This window comes from Homo sapiens, chromosome 5 (genome assembly GCF_000001405.40).
Source record: "Homo sapiens chromosome 5, GRCh38.p14 Primary Assembly".
Classification (NCBI taxonomy): Eukaryota; Metazoa; Chordata; class Mammalia; order Primates; family Hominidae; genus Homo; species Homo sapiens.
The window spans coordinates 114,534,970-114,559,864 of NC_000005.10; the positions used below are offsets into that span (position 1 = coordinate 114,534,970).

The 24,895-nt window shown below is 38.3% G+C and overlaps 1 long non-coding RNA gene across 1 annotated transcript in view, besides 1 other annotated feature; it reads right to left on the minus strand.

Annotated features, from left to right (window-relative positions):
- LOC101927078 (uncharacterized) overlaps window positions 1–24,895 on the minus strand; it is a 325,996-nt gene that overhangs the window by 87,552 nt on the left and 213,549 nt on the right. The gene's annotated exons all lie outside the window — the stretch shown is intronic.
- Window positions 9,707–10,206: an enhancer, noted in NCBI's record as "H3K4me1 hESC enhancer chr5:113880373-113880872 (GRCh37/hg19 assembly coordinates)". NCBI's record gives its function as "activates a minimal SCP1, AML or CMV promoter by ChIP-STARR-seq in primed H9 embryonic stem cells {active_cell/tissue: H9 hESC(primed)}" and the evidence as "EXISTENCE:reporter gene assay evidence [ECO:0000049][PMID:30033119]".

Consider the following 24,895-nt stretch of genomic DNA (forward strand, 5'->3'; position numbering starts at 1 on the left):
ATATTGGTCCCCACTGTCTTCTTGCTTATAGAGTTTCTGCAGAGAGATCAGCTGTTAGTCTGATGGGCTTCCCTTTGTTGGTATCCCGACCTTTCTCTCTGGCTGCACTTAACATTTTTTCCTTCATTTCAACTTTGGTGAATCTGACAATCATGTGTCTCGGAGTTGGTCTTCTCAAGGAGTATCTTTGTGGTGTTCTCTGTATTTCCTGAATTTGAATGTTGGCCTGTCTTGCTAGGCTGGGGATGTTCTCCTGAACAATATCCTGAAGAATGTTTTCCAACTTGGTTCCATTCTCCCTGTCACTTTCAGGTACACCAATCAGATGTAGATTTGGTCTTTTCCCATAGTCCCATATTTCTTGGAGGCTTTGTTCCTTGATTTTTATTCTTTTTTCTCTAAACTTCTCTTCTTGCTTCATTTCATTGATTTTATCTTCAATCACTGATACCCCTTCTTCCAGTTGATCGAATTGATTACTGAAGCATGTGCATTTGTCACATAGTTCTCGTGCCATGGTTTTCAGCTCCATCAGGTCCTTTAAGGACTTCTCTGCATTGGTTATTCTAGTTAGCCATTTGTCTAGTCTTTTTTCAAGGTTTTTAACTTCTTTGTGATGGGTTTGAACTTCCTCCTTTAGCTTGGAGAAGTTTGATTATCTGAAGCCTTCTTCTCTCAACTTGTCAAAGTCATTCTCTATCCAGCTTTGTTCCATTGCAGGTGAGGAGCTGCATTCCTTTGGAAGAGAAGAGGTGCTCTGATTTTTAGAATTTTCAGTTTTTCTGTTCTTTTATTCCCCCCATCTTTGTGGTTTTATCTACCTTTGGTCTTTGATGATGGTGACATACAGATGGGGTTTTGGTGTGGATGTCCTTTCTGTTTGTTAGTTTTCCTTTTAACAGTCAGGACCCTCAGCTGCAGGTCTGTTGGAGTTTGCTGGAGGTCCACTCCAGACGCTGTTTGCCTGGGTATCAGCAGCGGAGGCTGGAGAACAGTGAATATTGCTGAACAGTAAATGTTGCTGTCCAATCGTTCCTCTGGAGGTTTCGTCTCAGAAGGGTACCTGGCCGTGTGAGGTGTGAGTCTGCCCCTACTGGGGGTGCCTCCCAGATAGGCTACTCAGGGGTCAGGGACCCACTTGAGGAGGCAGTCTGTCCATTCTCAGATCTCAAACTGTGCTGGGAGAACCACTACTCTCTTCAAAGCTGTCAGACAGGGACATTTAAGTCTGCAGAGGTTTCTGCTGCCTTTTCTTTGGCTATGTCCTGCCCCCAGAGGTGTAGTCTACAGAGGCAGGCAGGCCTTCTTGAGCTGCAGTGGGCTCCACCCAGTTCGAGCTTCCCAGCCACTTTGTTTACCTACTCAAGCCTCAGCAATGGCAGGCGCCCCTCCTCCAGCCTCGCTGCCACCTTGCAGTTCGATCTCAGACTGCTGTGCTAGCAATGAGCAAGGCTCAGTGGGAAGGGGACCCTCTGAGGCCAGCTGTGGGATATAATCTCCTGGTGTGCCGTTTGCTAAGACAATTGGAAAAGCTCAGTATTAGGGTGGGAGTGATCCGATTTTCCAGGTGCTGTCTGTCACTGCTTTGCTTGGCTATGAAAGGGAATTCCCTGATCCCTTGCATTTCCTGGGTGAGGCGATGCCTCGCCCTGCTTTGGCTCATGCTCACTGTGCTGCACCCACTGTCCTGCACCCACTGTCTGGCAAGCCCCAGTGAGATGAATCTGGTACCTCAGTTGGAAATGCAGAAATCACCTGTTCTGCATCACTCACACTGGGAGCTGTAGACTGGAGCTGTTCCTATTTGGCCATCTTGGAACCGCCTCAGATGTTTTTTTTCATCGTATGTTATGCACATTCTCTGATGGAGTCTCCAGGCTAGACTGTTCTGTTTGAGGTAAACTAACACCATCATGAGTCTACTGCAATTCTTGGAGAAGCTATTTTCACTAGAAGCATCAGTGGAGGTTTTACCTTTTATGCTATGTACTTTTTACCCTTAAGCATAAAGGAAAATGTCACTTTTATTCAGAAAATATCCTTTGCAATTTCACAGACTCTGATTATTAAATTCACATTTGCTATCTATATATTCCATCATTGTATTTTTTAGCAAGAGTGAAGAGCCTTAGAAGTGTTTCATTATTTTTGTTACCTTCACATAACTAGCAATTTAGGATACTTTGCCACCCAAACAAACTGACAGCTACTGGCATTGTGGACTTGATTTAAGAAATGTTGTACTTGATGTAGTTAAAAATTTTCCAAACAAGTTATTTTTGGTGAATGGCCATTCTAATGTTGTGATTAACTATTCAAGCTATCAGCTTCTTTATTGCTATAGTCCACCTGGAGAAAAAAAAAATCTCTTCACTTATCCCTAGAGAAAAGTAACTGACTTGCTAATTTTTATGTAAGGCAGTAAGATGTACCCTATAAATATATATACCTACTATGTAGGTACAAAATTTAAAAAATTACAAAAAGAAAGAAAATATTGACAAAAGTTAACAACTTTTTATTGGGAACCCCTTCTATGTCTGACATTCTACTGGATGTCAGATCAAAAAATGGGTAAGACATGGCCCCATATGTAGAAACTAGATCTGGGTCTCTGCAGCGTTTAGGTAAAATATGTTTGGATAATGTTGGATATACCCACATCAGTTGAAGTCTGTATAGAAATCTTAAAATTAGATTAATTCTATAATTACTCCAATTTTCTATTCAGGCTATCACAATGATATTGATCTGATATACAAATAACTGAACTGGGAATGAGATAATCCAAATAGTAGTTTGTATCACTTACTTGTCACATCACATACCTATCTCCAAAGCTAGAATGTAAGGTCCTTCATGGCGGAAACTGCATCATTTATTTCTATATGCACAGCCTTTAACAAAGTTTCTGGCAAGCAGATAGCATTAAACTAACATTGCTGAATCAATGACTGCTAGATTTTAATTCTAATCTAAAAAGTTATATATTGTAGTTCTTAATCTTTTCTAATTCATGGACTCCTTTGAGAACTGGAAGAAAACCGTATCTTTACCAGAGACAAATGCACAGAACATAGTATTATACAGGTTATTTTAGGGGGTACCCTGAATTCCATCTTTGATCTATATGCTTAGAATTTTATACAGAAATTTTAAAATTTGGTATTTTCCTGTCTCAGAACTAACAATCTATTTAACTTTCTAGTTTATGTATTCATAGTTACCCTTAACCTGTTAAATCTTCAAAAATTTATTTTGCAATAAAAAATGCTCTTGAAGACTACTATCCAAATTACACTAGTTCCATTGCCAGTTCTGCTACTAGCCACCTGTATGACTTTCGATACGTCCCATAAGTAATCTGGGCTTTAGTTCTAGACCTGTAAATTTAGGAATTTGAGCTAAAATGATTTCTAATGCTCCTTATGGCTCTGATATTCTCAGTTCCAAAGCACTGGAGTTCCTCCGATGAAGAAAGGAATATGTGTAATGTAAATAATGACTTTACAATCTGCCATGAGGGGGAGGCATGAAGCATCAGATTTAATGATTTAAAAATGACTTAAATAAACTCTTTGCAGATATCTGCAGGAATCTAAGCATCAGATCTACAGCTTAGACATATACCAATTTTGAGGGCCACCTAGATTTTCAGTTCTTAAGGAAGAAAATGGTCTTTCTCCCCATTGACTACTGGCTTTTAACATAATCTAAATATTCAGAATATCCCATCACCCAAAATTACTTCTGATATCCAAGTGTACAATAAATTAGCTGTTCCTAGGCATGAACAGTTGAGCCAAGCTTTTGACATTCACAGCAAAAGAGAATTATGAATTTGAGTTTGGAGCAAGGCATGCAACAGAGAGAGGGAGACACCTTTCCAAAAAGGGAGACTAGAAATCTACCCTGTTTTAGAGTTTCTATAAAATAAAACTTGGGCAAGAAAAGACACCAGAACCAAGAATGATATATTCTTTCTGTGAGACTATATTCTCTTCTTGACCTCAGATATAATATGCTATGACATCAGTGCATGCAGGGCAGTATTCTGTTAGATTCATCTTTTAAAAATGCCTCTTAAATAATTTCATTCCCTGCTCCAAAATCCCAAGTACTTTACCACTCACCAAAAGAATAAAGTCTAAGCTTCTGTCTGTGAACATAAGGCCAACCAACCATCTGATCTCAATGGACATTAATTTTTCCTGTTATCCCCATACTGAGTGACCTATTTTAGACAAGTTAGTCATCCATGTCCTGCCAACATATCCAAACTTGACTTCTTCCATGTCATGCTCAGATCACTGTCCTTTCCAGCAATATCCTATTAAACACAGAGTTCCAGTTCCAGTAATGGGAGACAAGGAATTATCATCAACGTTCTTGATGAAAATATAGCTAGATAAAAGTTTAAGGGAACATCCATTCGAAGGTATCACTGAGCTTAAGTTGGGAACAGGCCCCCCAGAATCTGGCCATAAACTGGCCCCAAAACTGGCCATAAACAAATTCTCTGCAGCACTGTGACATGCTCATGATGGTCATGATGCCCAGGCTGGAAGGTTGTGGGTTTACCAGAATGAGGGCAAGGAACAGCTGGCCCGCCCAGGGCAGAAAACCACTTAAAGGTGTTCTTAAACCACGAACAATAGCATGAGTGATCTGTGCCTTAAGTACGTGCTCCTACTGCAGATAACTAGCCAAATCCATCCCTTTATTTCATCCCATCCCTTTGTTTCCCATCAGGAATACTTTTAGTTAATCTATAATCTGTAGAAACAATGCTTATCACCAGCTTGCTGCTAATAAATATGTGGGTAAATCTCTGTTTGAGGCTGTCAGCTCTGAAGGTTGTGAGATCCCTGATTTCCCACTTCACACCTCTATATTTCTGTGTGTATGTCTATAATTCCTCTAGCACCACTGGATTAGGGTCTCCCTGACCGAGCTGGTCTTGGCAGCTTATAAAGAAAGAGTGAAGAATTACAGGCCAATATCTGGGAGACAAAGAAAAACCAGATAACTGAGCTTGCTTTTACCCAGGTTATCTACCAGTTCTGCAAGTGCCTGCTTAGACACTGAGAAGCTGTTCAGAGCTCTTGACAGTCAAAGCAAAAGAGAAATATGAATGTGATTTCAGAGCAACAAAGGAAGAAGAGGGAGACTTACCAAAAGGGGTGGACTAGAAATCAACCCTGAAATCAACCACCTTGCAAAAAGGGGTGGACTAGAAATCAACCCTGTTTACGAGCCTAAAGCCCAGGCATATCAATTCCAATCCTAATTGGGTAAGATGATCTGATGACTGTGAGAAATAAAAATGAATCTTCTGCAAAGGATAAGACAGAAAACAAAATTTTATGCTCACGTCATCTCTAAGTCTTTCATATACTGTACCCTGAACCCAATTTAAAAAATTACCAGCTACTGAGGAGAACATTTTATAAAGCCAAGAAAAACAACATACGATAGAAATAAACCCATAAGAGACCTTCATAATAGACTCATAAGACATAGATTTTAAGTTAACTACATAAGTTCAAAAAATAGATTGGGATTTTCTCCAAAAATAGGAAAGGAGAACTCATTAAAATCCTAAAAATGAAAAATAAAATAACTGATATTAAAGAGATAAAATTAAAAGCAGATTAGACAGAGCAAAAGGGCAATTTAATGAATTTCAAGAAAGGTCAGAGAAAATATCAATAATGAAGGATCAATATTTAAAAAGGCCAAAAGCACAGAAAAAGATATAACAGACAAAAGGAACAGGAGGGAAAGGAGTGTAAGAAGAATGCAGTGGGAAAAAAATGTAACATATCTGTAATTACAACCCCAGGAAAAAAGAGATACAAGAAAATGTAATGGAAGCAGTATTTTAAAATTTAATGGCTGAGAATTCTACAAAACTGAGGAAATACATCACTACAATTTTTAAGAAAGTATGAACTCTAAACATGATTAATGCAATGAAAACCCACTAAAACACATAAAGTTGTCAAAATAAAAAACTAAGTGATTTTTTTTTTACTTTAAGTTTAGGGGTACATGTGCAGGATGTGCAGGTTTGTTATATAGGTAAATGTGTGTCATGGGGGTTTGTTGTACCAATTATTTCATCACTGAGGTACTATGCTCTGTACCCAATAGCTATTTTTTCCTAATCCTTTCCCTCCTCCTATCCACCACCCTCCAATAGGCCCCAGTGTCTGTTGTTCCCCTCGTTGAATCCATGTGTTCTAATCATTAGCTTCCACTTATAAGAACACATGGCATTTGGTTTTCTGTTCCTGCATTAGTTTGCTGAGGATACTGGCCTCCAGCTGCATCCACAACCCTGCAAAGGACATGTTCTCATTCTTTTTTATGGCTGCATAGCATTCCATGGTGTATATGTACTACATTTTCTTTATCCAATCCGCCAGTGATGGGCATTTAGGTTGATTCCATATCTTTGCTATTGTGAATAGTGCTGCAATGAATGTACATATGCATGTGTCTTTACGGCAGAATGATTTATCTTCCTTTGGGTATATACCCAGTAATGGTTGGATTGATGGGTCTAATGGTAGTCCTGTTTGTTGCTCTTTGAGGAATCACCACACTGCTTCTACAATGGTTGAACTGATTTATACTCCCATCAACAGTATATAAGAGTTTGCTTTTCTCTGCAACCTTGCCAGCAACTTTTATTTTTTTTAACTTTTTAATAGTAGCCATTCTGACTGGTGTGACATGGTATTTCATTGTGGTTTTGCTTTGCATTTTTCTAATGATTAGGGATGTTGAGCTTTTCTGTTTATATGGGTTTTGGCTGCCTGTATGTCTTCTTTTGATAAGTGTCTGTTCACTTCCAAAGTGATTATTTTTAAAAGCTGGAGGAATAAAAGACAACTCGCTTTCAAACAATCGAAAATAGAATTGGAGCTAAGTTCAACAAAATTAATCACAGAAGCTATAACTGCCAATCTAATATTCCAAAACCAGCAAATATTTTCCCAGAAAAATAAATGTAAAAGAAAATACTTTTTAGAAAAATAAAAGCAGGAACTTTATTATCAAAGAAATAGTACAGGAATTTCCTTAGGCAGAAGAAAAAAATTATCCCAGGGAGAAGCTCAGAGATACAATAAATGAAGAGCAACCTAAAGAATAAACGTGTAGGAAATTGAAATAAATATTCGAAGTCAAAAACATTAGCAATAATGGACTGTGAGGCTTAAACATATATTTAATATACACTCCTAAACAACAGTGTAAGTGAGAAAGGAGGTAAAAAGACTTAAAGAATTTTAGAATTCTTACAGTCTCAGGGAAGAGAGAAAAACAAACTTATAGCAAACATTAAGTCAAGGATGAATACTATGACAACTATTAAAAAAAGTAAAATTATATACAAATAATAAGCTAATAGAGGATGAAAGCATGTAACGAAAAATTAATCCAGGCAAAGAAAAGAGGAAAAATGCTGAACATCATCAAATATAGAGTGAGGATGTAGAATTAAAACCACACATATCAGTATTTAGGGTAAATTTCAAGATGTTATATTTCCAAATGCTAACACAATCATAATGTTTAAAATATTAAACTCAACTCTGTGCAGTTTCAAGAGACATCTCAAAGATATAAAGATACAGAACTTATGAAGATAGAAGGGTTAAAAAATATCATGAAGAAAACTAAACAAAAGGAAACAAAAGGAAGCTTGTATAGTTATAGTAAACAGGCATACTGTTAGACAAAAAGCCTTAATAGAAATAAAGAAGACCATGTTATACAATACCTAACAATCTAAATATACATGCATCTAATGCATGAACACCCAGATTCAGAAAGCAAGTTCTTAGAGACCTTCAAAGAGATTTAGACCCCCATGCAATAATAGTGGGAGACTTTAACATTCCATTGACAATATTAGACAAATCATCAAGACAGGAAATTAACAAATATAATCAGGTCCTGAACTCAACACTTGGTCAAATAGACCTGACAGACATCTACAGAACTCTCCACCCAGAAACAACAGATATACAATTTTTCTCATCACCATACAGCACATACTCTAAAATCGATCACATAATCAGAAATAAAACTCTCTTCAGCTAGGCCAGGTGTGGTGGCTCATGCCTGTAATCCCAGTACTTTGGGAGGCTGAGGCCGGTGGATCACGAGGTGAGGAGATCAAGACCATCCTGGCTAACACGGTGAAACTCCATCTCTACTAAAAATACAAAAAAAATTAGTCGGGCATAGTGGTGGGTGCCTGTAGTCCCAGCTACTCTGGAGGCTGAGGCAGGAGAATGGCATTAACCCAGGAGGCAGAGCTTGCAATGAGCCGAGACAGCACCACTGCACTCCAGCCTGGGTGACAGAGCGAGACTCTGTCTCCAAAAAAAAAAAAAAAAAAAAAAAACTATTCAGCTAAATGGAAAAAACTGAAATCCTAACAATCTATTTCGTAGATCACAGCATAATCAAATTAGAAATCAGGACTAAGAAATTTACTCAAAACCATACAATTACTTGGAAACGAAATAATCTACTCTTGAATTACTTTTGGGTAAACAATGAAATTAAGGCAGAAATCAAGACATTATTTGAAAGTAACTATAACAAAGATACAACATACCAGAATCTGGGGACACAGCTAAGGCAATGTTGAGAGGGAAATTTATAGCACTAAATGCCCACATCAAAGTTAGAGAATCTCAATTTAACAACCTAGGGTCACAATGAAAAGAAATAGAGAAACAAGAGCAAACTAACCCCAAGGCTAGAAGAAGACAAGAAATAACCAAAATCAGAGGTGAACTGAAGGAGACTGAGACATGCAAAATCATTCAAAAGATCAATGAATCCAGGAGCTAGTTTTTTTTAATTAAGAAAATAGATAGACCACTAGCTAGACTAATAAGAAAAAAAAGAAGATTCAAATAAACACAATCAGAAGTGACAAGGGGGATAATACCACTGATCACACAGAAATACAAACACCAGAGAACATTATGAACACCTTTATGCACGTAAACTAGAAAATCTAGAAGCAGTGGATAAATTCCTAGACACATAGACCCTCTTACAACTGAAGAAGGAAGAAACTGAATCACGGAATAGACCAATGACAAGTTCTGAAATTGAGGCAGTAATAAATAGCCTACTAACCAAAAAAACTTCATAATCAGAAGACCTCACAGCTATGTTCTACCTGATGTACAATGACGACATGATACAATTCCTGTTGAAACTATTCCATAAATGTTAAGGAGAAGGGGCAGGGCCAAGATGGCCGACTACAAACAGCAGTTGTCAGAGGCTCCTATGGAAAAGAACCATAATTAGCATGTGAATCCTTCACCAGCAACCAGGGTATCCAGGTTCTCTCATCAGAACTGACTAGGTGGCTGGCATGATGCATGGAGAGGAAGCAAGGGCAGTGTGGTACAGTGGCCCATCTGAGAGCCACACAGGGCAGGGGAGATCCCACCCCACGGCCCCCAGCCAAGGGAGGCAGTGAGGTAGTGTGCTAACCAGCCAGGGAAACCATGCTTTTTCCACAGAACTTTACAACCCACTCACAAACCCATGTCAGCAGGTCCTAGGATCCCAAACTTGGAGCCCTGCAGATCCTCAAAAGCCTCTTAGCTGGAACCTGCCTAAGCCTCCTGAGCTCCTGAGAGGAGAGGAGACCAGCACCACAGTTGCAGCTGCCTGCTAAGCCCTTTGAGCTCCTGGGGGAGGGGCAGCAGCCAGCACTGGGGCTCATAAATGCCTAACATGCTAAGCTCCCTGGAATGGGGAAGGGTAGCATTCATCTCTATAGCTCCAGGCCATGCATTTCCCCTGCTGGAGCCAGGGAAGCTGGATGGCTTGGTCCCAAGAGGTGTCCCCCACAGTCCAAAACACTGGCTGTGGCAGACTGCGGCCAGACTGCCTCTACAGGCCTGACCCTGACCCATCCTTCTTCACTGGGTGGGGCTTCCCAGCAGGAACTCCAACTCCAGCCAGAGGCTTATGGACAGAACCTTGATCTCCAAGGGCCTGAGCCCTAGAGGGAGGGGTGGCCACACACTCTGGACCAGCAGACTTAGACTTTCCTCCTGGCAGCTCCAGACAAGTAGGTTTCACACCAGTGAAGCACACCCCCTCCACCAAGAGACAGTCAAGTGCTTCATTAAATGGGTCCTGTTCCCCATGCCACCCAGCTGGGTGAGACCGACTGACAAGGGTTGTCAGACAGCCTATAGAGGAATGATCCTACTGGCATCAGGTTGGTGTTACTTGAGGTCAGAGATCCCAGAAGGAGGAGGCACCCATCTTTGCTGTTCTCCAGCTTCCTTGAGTGACATCTCCAGGCACAGTAGCGAACCAGATGAACAGGGCCTGAAGTGAACCCCCAGCAAACCATAGCAGTCCTACAGAACAGAGACCTGACCCTTGAAAGAAAAACAAAGCATAACAGCATCAACAAAAAAAAGTCCCCACAAAAAGCCCATCCAAAGCAGCAGCCTCAAAGATCAAAACTAGACAAACTCATGAAGCTGAGAAAGAATCAATGATTAAATGCTGAAAACCCAAAAGGCCAGACTGCCTCTTCTCCTCCAAATGATTGCAGTGCCTCTCTAGCAAGGATGCAGAACTGGAAGGAGCATGAGATGGATGAATTGATAGAAGTAAGTTTCAGAAGATGGGTAATAAAAAACTCTGCTGAGGTAAAGGAGCATGTTGTAACCCAATGCAAAGAACTTAAGAAACTTGATAAAAAGTTAGAGGAGCTGCTAACTATAATAATCAGTTTAGAGAGGAACATAAATAATCTGATAGAGCTGAAAAACACAGCATGAGAACTTCGTGAAGCATACACAAGTATCAGTAGCTGAATTGATTAAGCAGAAGAAAGGATATCAGAGATTGAAGATCAACTTAATGAAATAAGACATGCAGACAAGAATAGAGAAAAAAGAATAAAAAGGAACGAACAAAGCTTCCACTAAATATGGGACTTCACAAAAAGAACAAACCTATGATTGATTAGAGTACGTGGAGGAGATGGGGATAATGGAAAGAAGGTAGAAAACACACTTCAGGATATTATCCAGGAGAACTTCCCCAACCTAGCAAGACAGGCCAACATGCAAATTCAGAAAATACAGAGAATACCACTAAGATACTCCAGGAGAAGATCAACCCATAATCATCACATAATCAACACATAATCATCAGATTCTCCAAGGTCAAAATGAAGGAAAAACTGTTAAGGGCAGCCAGAAAGAAAGGCCAGGTAACCTACAAAGGGAAGCCCATCAGGCTAACAGCAGACCTCTCAGCAGAAACTCTACAAGCCAGAAGAGATTGGGGGCCAGTATTCAACATTCTTAAAGAAAATCATTTTCAACCCAGAATTTCATATCCAGCCAAACTACGTTTCATTCACAAGCAAAGGAGAAACAAAATCCTTTCCAGACAAACAAATGTTGAGGGATTTTGTTACCACCAGGCCTGCCTTGCAAGAGCTCCTGAATGAAGCACTAAATATGGAAAGGAAAAACCGGTACCAACCACTGCAAAAACACACCCAAATACAAAGACCAATGACCCTCTGAAGAAACCACATCAACTAGTGTGCAAAATAACCAGACAGCATCATGATGACAGGATCAAATTCAAACATAACAATACTAACCTTATTGTTAGTTAAATTAAAAGACACAGATTGGCAAATTGGATAAAGAGTCAAGACCCGTCAGTGTGCTGTATTCAGGAGACCCACCTCATGTGCAAAGACACACATGGGCTCAAAATAAAGAGATGGAGGAAAATTTGCCAACAAAATGGAAACCAAAAGAAAGCAGGGGTTGCAATACTAGTCTCTGACAAAACAGACTTTAAACAACAAAGATCAAAAAAGACAAAGAAAGGCATTACATAATGGTAAAGGGAACAATTCAACAAGAAGAGCTAACTATTCTGAATATATATGCATACAATACAGGAGCACCCAGATTCATAAAACCAGTTCTTGGAAACATACAAAGAGACTTAGACTCCCACACAATAATAGTGGGAGACTTTAACACCCCACTGTCAATACTAGACAGTTCAGAGAAAAAGAAAATTAAGAAGGTTATTCAGGAATTGAACTCAGCTCTTGATCAAGTAGACCTAATAGATATCTACAGAACTCTCCACCCCAAGCCAACAGACTATACATTCTTCTCAGTGTCACATGGCACTTATTTTAAAATTGACTACATAATGGGAAATAAAACACTCCTCAGCAAATGCAAAAGAGCTGAAATCCTAACAAACAGTCTCTCACACCACAATGCAATCAAATTAGAACTCAGGATTAAGAAATTCACTCAAAACCACACAATTACACGGAAATTGAACAACCTGCACCTCAATGACTCCTGGGTAAATAATGAATTTAATGTAGAATCAAGAATTTCTTTGAAACCCATGAGAACAAAGAGACAATGTACCGGAATCTCTGGGACACCACTAAAGCAGTGTTAAGTGGGAAATTTACACCACTAAATGCCCACATTAGAAAGCTAAAAGATTACAAATCTACACCATAACATCACCTATTAAAAGAGCTAGAGAGGAAAGAGCAAACTAATCCAAAAACACCAGAAATAACTAAGATCAAAGCTGAACAGTAGAAGATAGAGACATGAAAAACCCTTCAAAAAAATCAACGAATCCAGGAGCTTTTAAAAAAAAATTAATAAAATGGATGGCTAGCTAGACTAATAAAGAAGAATCAAATAGACACAATAAATAAAAGATGATAAGGGGATATCACCACTGACCCCACAAAAATACAAACTACCATCAGAGAATACTCTAAACACCTCTACACAAATAAACTAGAAAATCTAGAAATGGATAAATTCCTGGACACATACACCCTCCCAAGACTAAACCAGCAAGAAGTTGAATACCTGAATAGAGAGTAACAAGTTCTGAAATTGAGGCAGTAATTAATAGCCTACCAATAAAAAAAACACAGATCCAGATGGATTCACAGCCTAATTTTACCAGAAATACAAAGAGTAGCTGGTATCATTTTTTCTAAAACTATTCCAAACAACTGAAAAAGAGGGACTCATTTTAAGAAGCCAGCATCATCCTGATACCAAAACTGGGCAAAGATAACAAAAAAAGAAAACTCCAGGCCAATATCCCTGATGAACATTGATGCCAAAATCCTCAGTAAAGTACTGGCAGACTGAATCCAGCAGCACAAAAATCTTCTCCACCACAATCAAGTCAGCTTCATCCCTGGGATGCAAAGCTGGTTCAACATATGCAAATCAATAAATGTTATCCATCACATAAACAGAACCAAAGACAAGAACCACATGATTATCTCAATAGATGCAGAAAAGGCCTTTGATGAAATTCAATATCGCTTCATGTTAAAAACTCTCAATAAACTAGGTACTGATGGAACATATTTCACAATAATAAGAGCTATTTATGAAAAATCCACAGCCAATATCATATTGAATGGGTAAAAGCTAGAAGTGTTCCCTTTGAAAACCAGCACAAGACAAGGATGCCCTCTTGCACCACTCTTATTCAACATATTATTGGAAGTTTTGCCCAGGGCAATCAGGCAAGAGAAAGAAATAAAGCGTATTCAAGTAGGAAGAGAGGAATGTGAATTGTCTCTGTTTGTAGATGACATGATTTTATATTTAGAAAATCCCATCATCTCAGCCTAAAGCTCCTTACACTTATAAGCAACTTCAGCAAAGTCTCAGGATACAAAATTAATGTGCAAAAATCACAAGCCTTGCTTTACACCAACAATAGACATGCAGACGGCCAAATCATGAATGAACTCCCATTCACAATCACTACAAAGAGAATAAAATGTCTAGGAATACAGCTAACAAGAGATATGAAGGACCTCTTCAAGGAGAACTACAAACCACTGCTCAAGGAAATCAGAGAGGACACAAACGAATGGAAAAACACTCCATCCTCATGGATAGGAAAAATCAATATTGTGAAAATGGCCATCCTGCCCAAAGTAATTTACAGATTCAATACTATTCCCATCACACTACCATTGACTTTCTTCAAATAATTAGAAAAAGCACTTTAAATTTCATTTAGAATCAAAGAAGACCCCATATAGCCAAGACAATCCTAAGCAAAAAGAACGAAGCTGGAGGTATCACACTACCTGACTTCAAACTATATTACAAGGCACCAGTAAACAAAACAGCATGATTCTGGTACCAAAATAGACATATAGACCAATGGAACAGAAAAGAGACCTCAGAAATAACACCATACATCTACAACCATCTGATCTTCAACAAGCCTGACAAAAGCAATGTGGAAAGAATCTCCTCTTCATAAATGATGCTGGGAAAACTGGCTAGCCATATGCAGAAAACTGAAACTGGATTTCTTCCTTATACCTTATACAAAAATTAACTCAAGATGGAATAAAGACTTAAACGTAAAACCCAAAACTATAAAAACCCTAGAAGAAAACCCAGGCAATGCCATTCAGGACATAGGCATGGGCAAAGACTTCATGACGAAAATGCCTAAAGCAATTGCGACAAATGCCAAAAGTGACAAATGAGATCTAGTTAAACTAAAGAGCTTCTGCACAGCAAAAGAAACTACCATCAGAGTAAACAGGAAGCATACAGAATGGGAGAAAATTTTTGCAATCTACCCATCTGACAAAGGGCTAATGTCCAGAATCTACAAACAACTTAAACAAATTTACAAGAAATAAATAAACAACCCCATCAAAAAATGAGCAGAAGATATGAAGAGACACTTCTCAAAAGAAGACATTTACATGGCTAACAAACATATGAAAAAGAGCTCAATATCATTGATCATTAGAGAAATGCAAATAAAAACCATAATGAGATACCATCTCATTACAGTCAGAATGGCTATTATTAAAAAGTCAGTAAATAACAGATACTGGTGTGGCTGTGGAGAAATAGGAATGCTTTTACACTGTTGATGGGAACGTAAATTAGTTCAACCACTGTGGAAGACAGTATGGGATTCCTCAAGGATCTAGAAACAGAAATACCATTTGACCTAGCAATCTCATTACTGGGTATATACCCAAAGGAATATAAATCATTCTACTATAAAGACACATGCACATGTTTGTTGACTGCAACACTATTAACAATAGGAAAGTCATGGAGCCAACCCAAATGCCCGTCAATGATAGACTGGAGAAAGAAAATGTGGTACAGATACATCACGAAATACTACAAAGCCATAAAAAGGAGTGAGATCATGTCCTTTGCAGGGACATGGATGAAGCTGGAAGCCATCATCCTCAGCAAACTAACACAGGAACAGAAAACCAACCACCACATGTTATCACTCATAAGTGGGAGTTGAACAATGAGAACACATGGACACAGGAAAGTGAACAACACACAAGGGCCTGTTGGGGGTTGGGGAGCAAGGGGAGGGAACTTAGAGGATGGGTCAATAGGTGCAGCAAACCACTATGGCACACATATACCTATGTAACAAACCTGCATGTTCTGCACAGGTATCCCAGAACTTAAAGTCAAAAAAAAAATTGAAGAGGAGGAAGTCCTCCCTAATGCATTCTGTGTGGCCAGCATCATCCTGATACCAAAACCTGGCAAGCACACACACACACACACATACACACGTGCATGTGCATACACACACACACACACACACACACACACACACACACACACACACACACACAACTTCAGGTCAATATCCTCAATGAACATCAATGCAAAAATCATCAAGGAAATACTGGCAAACCAAACCTAACAGCATATCAAAAACTTGTCTACCATGATCAAATAGGCTTTATCCCTGGGATTTAAGGTTGGTTCAACATGCACAAATCAATAAATGTGATTTATCGCATAAACAGAACTAAAGACAATAAGCACATAATTATCTTAATAGTTGCAGAAAAGACTTTACATTAAATTGAACACTTCTTCATGTTAAAAACTCTTTAAAACTCATGACGAACTAGATATTGAAGGAACATGCCTCAAAATAATAAGAGCCATACATGGAAAACCCACAGCTGATATCATACTGAATGGGCAAAACCTGGAAGCATTCCCCTTGGAAACTGGCACAAGACAAGAATGCCCTCTCTCACCACTACTATTAACATAGTATTAGAACCTAGAGAGAGCCATAAGGCAAGAGAAAAAAAATAATGGGCATCCAAACAGGAAGAGAGGAGGTCAAACTATTCCTCTTTGTAGTTGACATGATCCTATATCTAGAAAATCCCATAGTCTTGGCTCAAAAGATCCTTAACCTAATACGCAACTTCTCCAAAGTCTCAGGATATAAAATCAATGTAAAAATCACTAGCACTCCTATACCCCAAAAAACAGTAAAGCCAAGAGCCAAATCAGAAATGCAATCCCATTTGCAATTGCCAGCAACAAAACAAAAAGAACAGCAGCAACAACAACAACAAGAAACACAAAAACCTTAGGAACACGTCTAAGTATGGAGATGAAAGATCTCCACAAGGAAAGCTACAAAACACTGCTAAAAGAAATCAGAGATGGTCCAAACAAATGGAAAAACATTCCATGCTCATGGATAGAAAGAATCAATATTGTGAAAATGGCTATACTGCCCAAAACTATTTATAGATTTAATGATATGCCTTTTAAACTATGAATGACATTTTTAAAGGACTAGGCAAAACTATTTTAAGATTCATATGGAACCAAAAAAGAGCCCAAGGTAACGAAGGCAATCCTAAGCAACAAGAACAAAGCTGGAGGCATCATGCTAACCAACTTAAAACTATACTACAGGGCTATAGTAACCAAAACAGCATGACACTGGTACAAGAACAGAGACATAGACTAATGGAACACAATAGAAAAACCAGACATAAGATCACACACCTAAAACTATCAGATATCTGACAAAGGAGACAAAAAATAAGCAATGGGGAAAGGATACACTATTTAATAAATGGTGCTTGGAAAACTGGCTAGCCATATGCAGAAAAATGAAACTGGCCTCCTTCTTTAGACCTTATAAAAATTTACTCAAGATGGATTAAAGACTTCACAGAACTTGGAAAAACTCTTTTAAAATTCTGATGGAACCAAAAAAGATCCCAAGTAGCCAAGGCAATCCTAAGCAGAAAGAACGAAGCTAGAGGCAGCATGCTACTCAACAACAAACTATACTACAGAGCTATGGTAATCAAAACAGCATGGTACGGGTACCAGAACAGACACATAGACCAATGTAATGGAACTGATAACCCAGGAAAAGACCACACATTGACAACTACCCAATTTTTGACGAACCTTACAAAAACAAGCAGTGAAAAAAGGATTCCCCATTCAATAAATGGTGCTGGGATAACTGGCTAGCCATATACAGAAGACTGAAACACTAGACTGCCAAGACCTGCTTGGTCTGGGAGACCCTAACCCAGCGCTGCTAGAGGAATTAAAGACACACACCCAGAAATATAGAAGTGTGAAGTGGGAAATCAGGGGTCTCACAGCCTTCAGAGCTGAGAGCCCCGAACAGAGATTTACCCACATATTTATTAACAGCAAGCCAGTCATTAGCATTGTTTCTATAGATATTAAATTAACTAAAAGTATCCCTTATGGGAAATGAAGGGATGGGCTGAATTAAAGGAATAGGTTGGGCTAGTTAACTGCAGCAGGAGCATGTCCTTAAGGCACAGATCGCTCATGCTATTGTTTGTGGCTTAAGAACACCTTTAAGCTGTTTTCCACCCTGGGCAGGCCAGGTGTTCCTTGCCCTCATTCTGGTAAACCCACAACCTTCCAGAGTGGGTGTTATGGCCATCATGAACATGTCACAGTGCTGCAGAGATTTTGTTTATGGCCAGTTTTAGGGCCAGTTTATGACCATATTTTGGGGGACCTGTTCCCAACACTAGACCTCTTCCTCACACAATATACAAAAATTAAGTCAAGATAAAGACTAAAATGCAAACCCCAAAACTATAAAAACCCTGGAAAACAACCTAGGCAATACCATTAGGGACATAGGCATGAGCAAATATTTCATGATGAAGATGCCAAGAGCAATTGTAACAATCAAAAATTGACAAATGGGATCTAATTAAAGAGCTTCTGTACAGCAAAAGAAACTATTATCAGAGTGAACAGAGAACCTACAGAACGGGAGAAAAATTTTGCAAATTATGCATCTGACAAAGGTCTAATATCCAGCATCTATAAGTAGCTTAAACAAATGCACAAGAAAAAACAACCCCATTAAAAATTAGGCAAAAGACATAAACAGCCACTTTTCAAAAAATGACATACATGCAGGTAACAATCACAGAAAAGAAAGCTCAGCATCACTGATCATTAGTGAAATGCAAATCAAAACCACAATGAGATACCAACAGTCAGAATGGCTACTATTAAGTCTAAAAGTAACAGATCCTGGTGAGGCTGTAGAAAAAGAGAAATGCTTACACACTGTTGGTGGGAGTGTAAATTAATTCAGCCATTATGTAAGATAGTGTGGTGATTACTCAAAGACCTGAAAAAAGAAATACCATTCGACCCACAATCTTATTACTGGGTATACACCCAAAGGAATATAAATTTTTCTGTCATAAAGACACATGCACATGTATGTTCATTGCAGCACTATTCACAATAGCAATGACATGGAATCAACCTAAATGCCCATCAATGATAGACTGGATAAATAAAATGTGGTACATATACATCACAGAATACTATGCAGCTATAAAAAAGAAAGAGATCATGTCCATTGCAGGAACATGGATGGAGCTGGAGTCCATTATCCTTAGCAAACCAACACAAGAACAGAAAATCAAATACTGCATATTCTCACTTACAAATGGAAGCTAAATGATGAGAACACATGAACACATAGAGGTGAGCAACACATGCTGGGGCCAATTTAAGGGTTGGTGGTGGGTGGGAAGAGGGAGATGATCAGGAAAAATAGCAAATGGGTACTAGGATTAATACCTAGGTGACAAAATAATCTGTACAACAAACCCCCATGATTAAAGTTTAACTATATAACAAACCTGCTGTATTAGTCTGTTATCACACACTTATAGAGATGCTACACAAGACTTGATAATTTACAAAGGAAAAATGTTGACTCCCAGTTACACATACCTGGGGAGGCCTCAGGAAACTTACAACCATGGCAGAAGGGAAAGCAGGCACCTTCTTCATAAGGCAGCAAGAGAGAGAAGTGCCAGCAGGAGAAATGCCAGATACTTATAAAACGATCAGATCTTGTGAGAACTCACTCACTATCACGAGAACAGTAGGGGGGAAACTGCCCCCATGATCCGATCACCTCTCTCCACCAACACGTGGGGGATTACAGGTCCCTCCCTTACACATGGGGATTAAAATTCAAGATGAGATTTGTCTGGGGACACAGAGCCAAACCATATCATTCTGCCCCTGGCCCCTCCCAAATCTCATGTATTTTATACATTTCAAAATGAATTATGCCTTCTCAACATACACCAAAGTCTTAACTCATTCCAACAATAACTGAAAAGTCCAAGGCAAAGTCTCATCCAAGACAAGGCAAGTTTTCAAAACCAATCATTCCTTCCCAACAATTCCTCAAGTCTTAACTCATTCCAGCATTAACCCAAAAGTCCAAGTCCAAAGTCTCATCTGAGACAAGGCAGCCCCTTCCATCTATGACCCTGTAAAATAAAAAACAAGTTAGTTACTTCCAAGATACAATGGGAGTACAGCCATGGGATAAATGTTCCCATTCCAAAGGGAGAAAGTGGCCAAAAAAGGGGGACAGGCCCCATGCAAGTCTGAAATCCAGTGGAACAGTCATTAAATATTAAAGCTCTAAAATGCCCTCCTTTGCCTCTCACATCCAGGACATGCTGATGTAAAGGGGTGGGCTCCCATGACCTTGGGCATCTCCTTCAAGGGCTGGCATTGAGTGCTTGCAGCTTTTCTAGGTGCACAGCGCAAGCTGTTCATGGATCTACCATTCTGGGGGCTGGAGGATGGTGGCCCTCTTCTCACAACTCCACTAGGCAGTACCCCAGGGGGCTTCTATGTTGGGGTTCCAACCCCACATTTCCCTTCTGCACTTCCCTACCAGAGGTGCTCCATGAGGGCTCCATTCCTGCAGCAAACTTTTGCCTGGACATCCAACTGTTTCCATACATCCTCTGAAATCTAGGTGGAGGTTCCCAAACCTCAATTTTTCATTTCTGTGCAACCACAGGCTCAACACCACATGGAAACCACCAAAGCTTGGGGCTTGCACCCTCTGAAGCAATGGCTGAGCTGTACCTTGGCCCATTTTAGCCATGGCTGGAGCTGAAGCAGCTGGGACACAGGGCACCACGTTCTGAGGCTACACAGAGCAGGGAGCGGGGCCCTAAGCCCAGGCCATGAAACCATTTTTCCTTCCTAGGCCTCCAGACCTCTGATAGGAGGGTTTACCACCAAGATCTCTGACGTGCCCTAGAGACATTTTCCCCCTTTGACTTGGCTACTAACATTCAGGTCATCATTACTTTTGCAAATTTCTGCAGCAGGCTTCAATTTCTCCCCAGAAAATCAGTTTTTCATTTCTATCACATCGTCATGCTGCAAATTTTCCACAATATTTTGCTCTACTTCTCTTTTGAACATAAGTTTCAATTTCAGATCATCTCTCTCAAGTTCAAAGTTCCACAGATCTCTAGGGCAAAGGAAAATCCTTCCAGTCTCTTTGCTAAAGCATAGCAAGAGTGACCTTTACTCCAGCTCCCAAGAAGTTCCTCATCTCCATTTGAGACCTCCTCAGCCTAGACTTCATTGTTTATACCACTATCAGAATTTTGGTCAAAACCATTCAACGAGTCTTCACCAGAGATTCTAACACACTTCTCTCAGTAGTTTCTAAGATCAAGCAGACCAAAAAATAATAATTCAACAATGTTTTAAAAGATTTAACCAACAAAATGAATAAGCTAGACACAATTGAGTGTATTAATCACTGAAAAATATGTATTATTTGTAAGTAAAAACAGAACATTTACAAAAATTGACCTTATGCTGTCTACAAAGAGTGTCTCTAAAATTGGTAAAGGATATGAATCAGACAGACTTTGCTCTGACCATAGTGGAATAAAGCTAGAAATAGCTCTTTAAAATGTAACTGAAAAAAATCTCTAAATCTTTGGAGGTTAACCAGAACACTGTTAAACAAACCAGGAATCAAAAAAGAAATAATAGAAACCAAACATATGTGAAATGAATTAAGATTAGAAAAAGAGCAAAATTTGTAGGAGGCAGCTAAAGTTTCTTAGAAATGGAATCATAAGTTATCATTTATTGCCTTACATTGTTTTCATATATTAATAGCTATTATTTAAAATAAGGCCATAAAATGAACACTACCAGCAGCTATCCTATTAAATTAGACAAAGGAATGCAAAACAAACTTAAGGATTAATGATAAACAAAGGCAAGAAGTAATATAGATAGGAGTAGAGAGAAATAGGAAAGAAAATTACAAAGAAGAGAGTCAAAGTTAAAAGATTTTTTAGAAACTAATCAAATCAATAAACCCATGGTGAAAATGATTTAAGGAATATGAGCAAAAGAAAAGATAAGCAATATCTAGAATGATAAAGGAGGTTCTAGGACAGATATTACAAACATCACAAAGATAATAAGATAATACTATGAGGATTTTCCTGTGAAAAATACACATCAGTGTTCAGTCGAAATAAAAAAGTTACTTGAAAAAATATTTTATCAAAACTGATATAAGATGTAAAAAACACTAAATGCCCTATAACTATTAGAAAATTAGATCTAAAATTAACAGCATATCAATGAAAAAAATCCAGATCAAGATGGCTTTATCAGTTAGTTCACCAAATATTCAAGAAAAAAATTATCACCAGGCTTAAATTTTTCTACACACTAGAATAAAAGGAAAAATGTCCTTGTTCATCTTATGAGGTTTGCATAACCTTGATACCAAAACCTGTCAAGCATATTAAAGGAAACCATAGGCTGATATAATAATCATAGGTGAAAAATATTTTAATGTCGAATTCAGCTATATATAAAAAGATTAACATATCATGAAGAGTTTGGGCTTATTCTAGGAAAAAGAATGGTTCAAGGTTTGAAAACAGTCACTGTAATTCACACCTCATTAACAGAATAAAGGAGAAAAACCATGATCATCTCAACTAATAAAAAGCATTTAATAAAATTAAACACTCATTCACACTAGTTTTAAAAATAACTAATAGAAAGCTGAGAACAAAAGTAGATTTCTTCATTTGTCAAAGAAGAAAGCATGCACACACAGAAACCTACAGCAAAATTATACTTGATAGAAAATGTTAAAAGTTTTCCTTGAAACATCAGGAATGTTATAGTAATACCCACTAATGCTACTTGTATTAAATACTACACTGGAGGTTATGATCAGTGTAATAAGGGAAGAAAAAAGGAAAAAAAGGTAAAAGAATAAGAGTGGAGGAAACAATACTGTTATTTGTAAATGACATAATTACATATATAAAAATATGTTGAACATTTCTGCTTTCAAGGTCAATATATCAAAAATTAGGACAGGCGCAGTGGCTCAAGCATGCATTCCCAGCACTTTGAAAGGCCAAGGTGGGAGGATCACTTGAGCCTCAGAATTTGAGACCAGCCTGGACAACATAGCAAGATCCTGTCTGTAAAAAAAAGAATTGCTTTCCTATGCCAGCAATCATTAGAAAATGAAATTTAAAAACAGATGTAAATTACAGTTGTACCAAAAATATCAAATACCTAAGATTAATCTATAAAAACATATATAAGATCTCTAATCAAAAAATAAAAACATTATTGAGAGTATTTTTTTTTTTTTTTGAGACAGAGCCTCACTCTGTTGCCCAGGCTGGAGTGCAGTGGCGTGATCTTGGCTCACTGCAGCATCTGCCTCCTGGGTTCAAGCGATTCTTCTGCCTCAGCCTCCCGAGTAGCTGCGACTACAGGCATGTGCCACCATGCCCAGCTAATTTTTATATTTTTAGTAGAGACAGGGTTTCACCATATTGGCCAGGCTGGTCTCGAACTCCTGACCTCATGATCTGCCCGCCTTGGCCTCCCAAAGTGCTGGGGTTACAGGCATGAGCCACCGCACCCAGCCAAGAGTAATTTTTAAAGGACTTCCACAAATGGAGAGTTACTCATGTTCATCAATTAGATAAATCATTATTGTGAAGATTATGTCAGTCATTTCTCCTTAAAATGATCTATAGTTTGAATGCAATCTCAATTAGAATTTAAACAGTCATTTTGGGAGAAAAATAACAAGCTTATCTAAAGTTTACATGAAAATTACAGAGGCCAAGAATATTGAAGGTGTTCCTGAAGAACAATAAGGAATTATTTGTTCTATCAGTTTTCAATTTTTTTAAATAACAAAACAATGGAGTACATAGATTATATTAAAGAATATTCTCATAATCTGAATTACAAAATCAATAATAAAAAGAATACTTAAAATGCAACCCATAAAGGGAAAGATAGCTAAATTAAACTATTCAAGAAAAATTGTATTCATTAAAACACACCACTGAAATGAAAAGACAAGAGAGGGTGGAGAATGAACATTTTCTGTAACTATAAACAACAAAGAATTTTTGAATTTGTGGATTTCTTACCAATGAATAATAAAGACCAACATTGCAATACAAAAAAATAAAGAAGACCTACACATAGACACTCCACAAAAGAGAATATTCAAATGAACAATACATACTTGGAAAGCTCCTAAACCTTATGATTCAACATGGAACTAGAATTTCAAAATGCAATAATATTACCACTACATACCAACAATAGTGGCAATAGTAAAAATTATTGACAACACCCAATGTTTTAGAACATGTACATCAATAGAACATTTATTCTTGGGAGTATAAACTGGTACAACCACCTCAGAAAAGACATCATTATCTATGTAAGTTAAACATGATTGTCGCTTCAGGACCAAGTAATTTCCTTCCTAAGCCTATATGCAACAAAAATACATGCACGTATGTACCAAAAAACGTTTGCAAGAATATGCATAGCAAAATTATTTATTCTACTTTTAAGTTAGAAACAATCCAAATATCAACAGTAGAATGGATAAATTGTGGTATAACCATGCAATGAAATGCTATCAAATAAAACCCCATAGGTACATGCAATGACACTGATGAAGCTCCAAAACTTGATGCTGAGCAAAAGATGGCAACCAAAACACAGTATGCAGTATATTACTGTTTTACATAAACTTCAAAAATAACCTATGGAAGTCATGACACTGCTTACCAGGAGGAGCTGTGTTTTAATGAGAAGGGGCATGAGGAGGGCTTCTGGGGTCAATATTCTATTCTTTATAACATCAACTCTGAAGATAGAAAAGGTTTCTCAGGGCCTGCTATATATTGAACACTGGTGTATGAATGGCCATTAGACTGTTCACTGTATAACTTATAATTTAAAGGCAAAAGAATGGGGATACACAACAAGGTATTTAAGTTCAAGGTCCCAGGCTTGGTTGCTTTCTTATGCTGATATAATCCATTTGTGTCAGCCTTTCATCAAATTTGTAACCAAACTGCAACTATGTATGGTGATTTGGGGCATCAGAAGCTGCATCTGAACACCTGAAGTCTCTGTGATGATGCTGCAGTTAGTCCTTGATCTGCATCTTTTTTTTAAGCTAAATAAATTTGGTGCTGCATAAGCCTAATTGTGTTTTGAGAGTTTGGTCGGGGATTCAAACTGACACACCCCCTCCAGAAGCCTTGTAGATTGGGAAGTTG